The sequence below is a fragment of the Homo sapiens genome, chromosome 7 (genome assembly GCF_000001405.40).
Source record: "Homo sapiens chromosome 7, GRCh38.p14 Primary Assembly".
Taxonomy (NCBI): Eukaryota; Metazoa; Chordata; class Mammalia; order Primates; family Hominidae; genus Homo; species Homo sapiens.
The window spans coordinates 155,580,369-155,580,981 of NC_000007.14; the positions used below are offsets into that span (position 1 = coordinate 155,580,369).

General features: G+C 48.1%; 1 annotated feature.

Annotated features, from left to right (window-relative positions):
• Positions 224-283: an enhancer, noted in NCBI's record as "active region_26898". NCBI's record gives its function as "activates an Ori minimal core promoter by ATAC-STARR-seq in GM12878 lymphoblastoid cells {active_cell/tissue: GM12878}" and the evidence as "EXISTENCE:reporter gene assay evidence [ECO:0000049][PMID:35858748]".

Genomic DNA, 613 nt, shown 5'->3' on the forward strand with positions numbered 1-613 from the left:
CCTTCCAGGGTCGAGAACAGGAATTCATGCATGGGGAAAGTTTAATAAACGTGTCAAACAAGTGCATTGCTCATGTACTCAAGTTTCTGAATATAAAGCCAGTCTCTACCCCTTCCAAAGAGGCCCAGGCACATGGTGATGACATTTTCAGTCATCATCATGGTTATTCTGTGCATGTGGTTTCATGGGGGAGGCATATCTGGCATTAGAAGACCAAGATTCAAGACTCATTTTCACCCACGTGGAGGCTGTGTGGCCAAGGATGAGTCACCAAGTCTCTACTGTCCTCCATTTGCTCACCTGTAAGTGGATTAACAATGCTTTCCATCTGCAGGGTGGTGCAAGGGGTACTTAGGATTCTGTACCAAAACCACTGTGTAACACAGAGATCAACACACAGACACAAGCCAGGGTCCTCTCTCCATCAGAGGAGAGCCCAGGACCACACCTGCCCTCTGCGGTCACTTTCCTGGGGTAGTATCTGCTCACATTCTGCTGTGTATGTAGTCACAGGGAACAGGCTAAATGAAAGCCTCTTTCATTCAACCTGAGTTGTCCACCCAAGGAAAGACTCCAGCAAGCTTGTCTGGAGGCATATTAGAGCCCATGACCC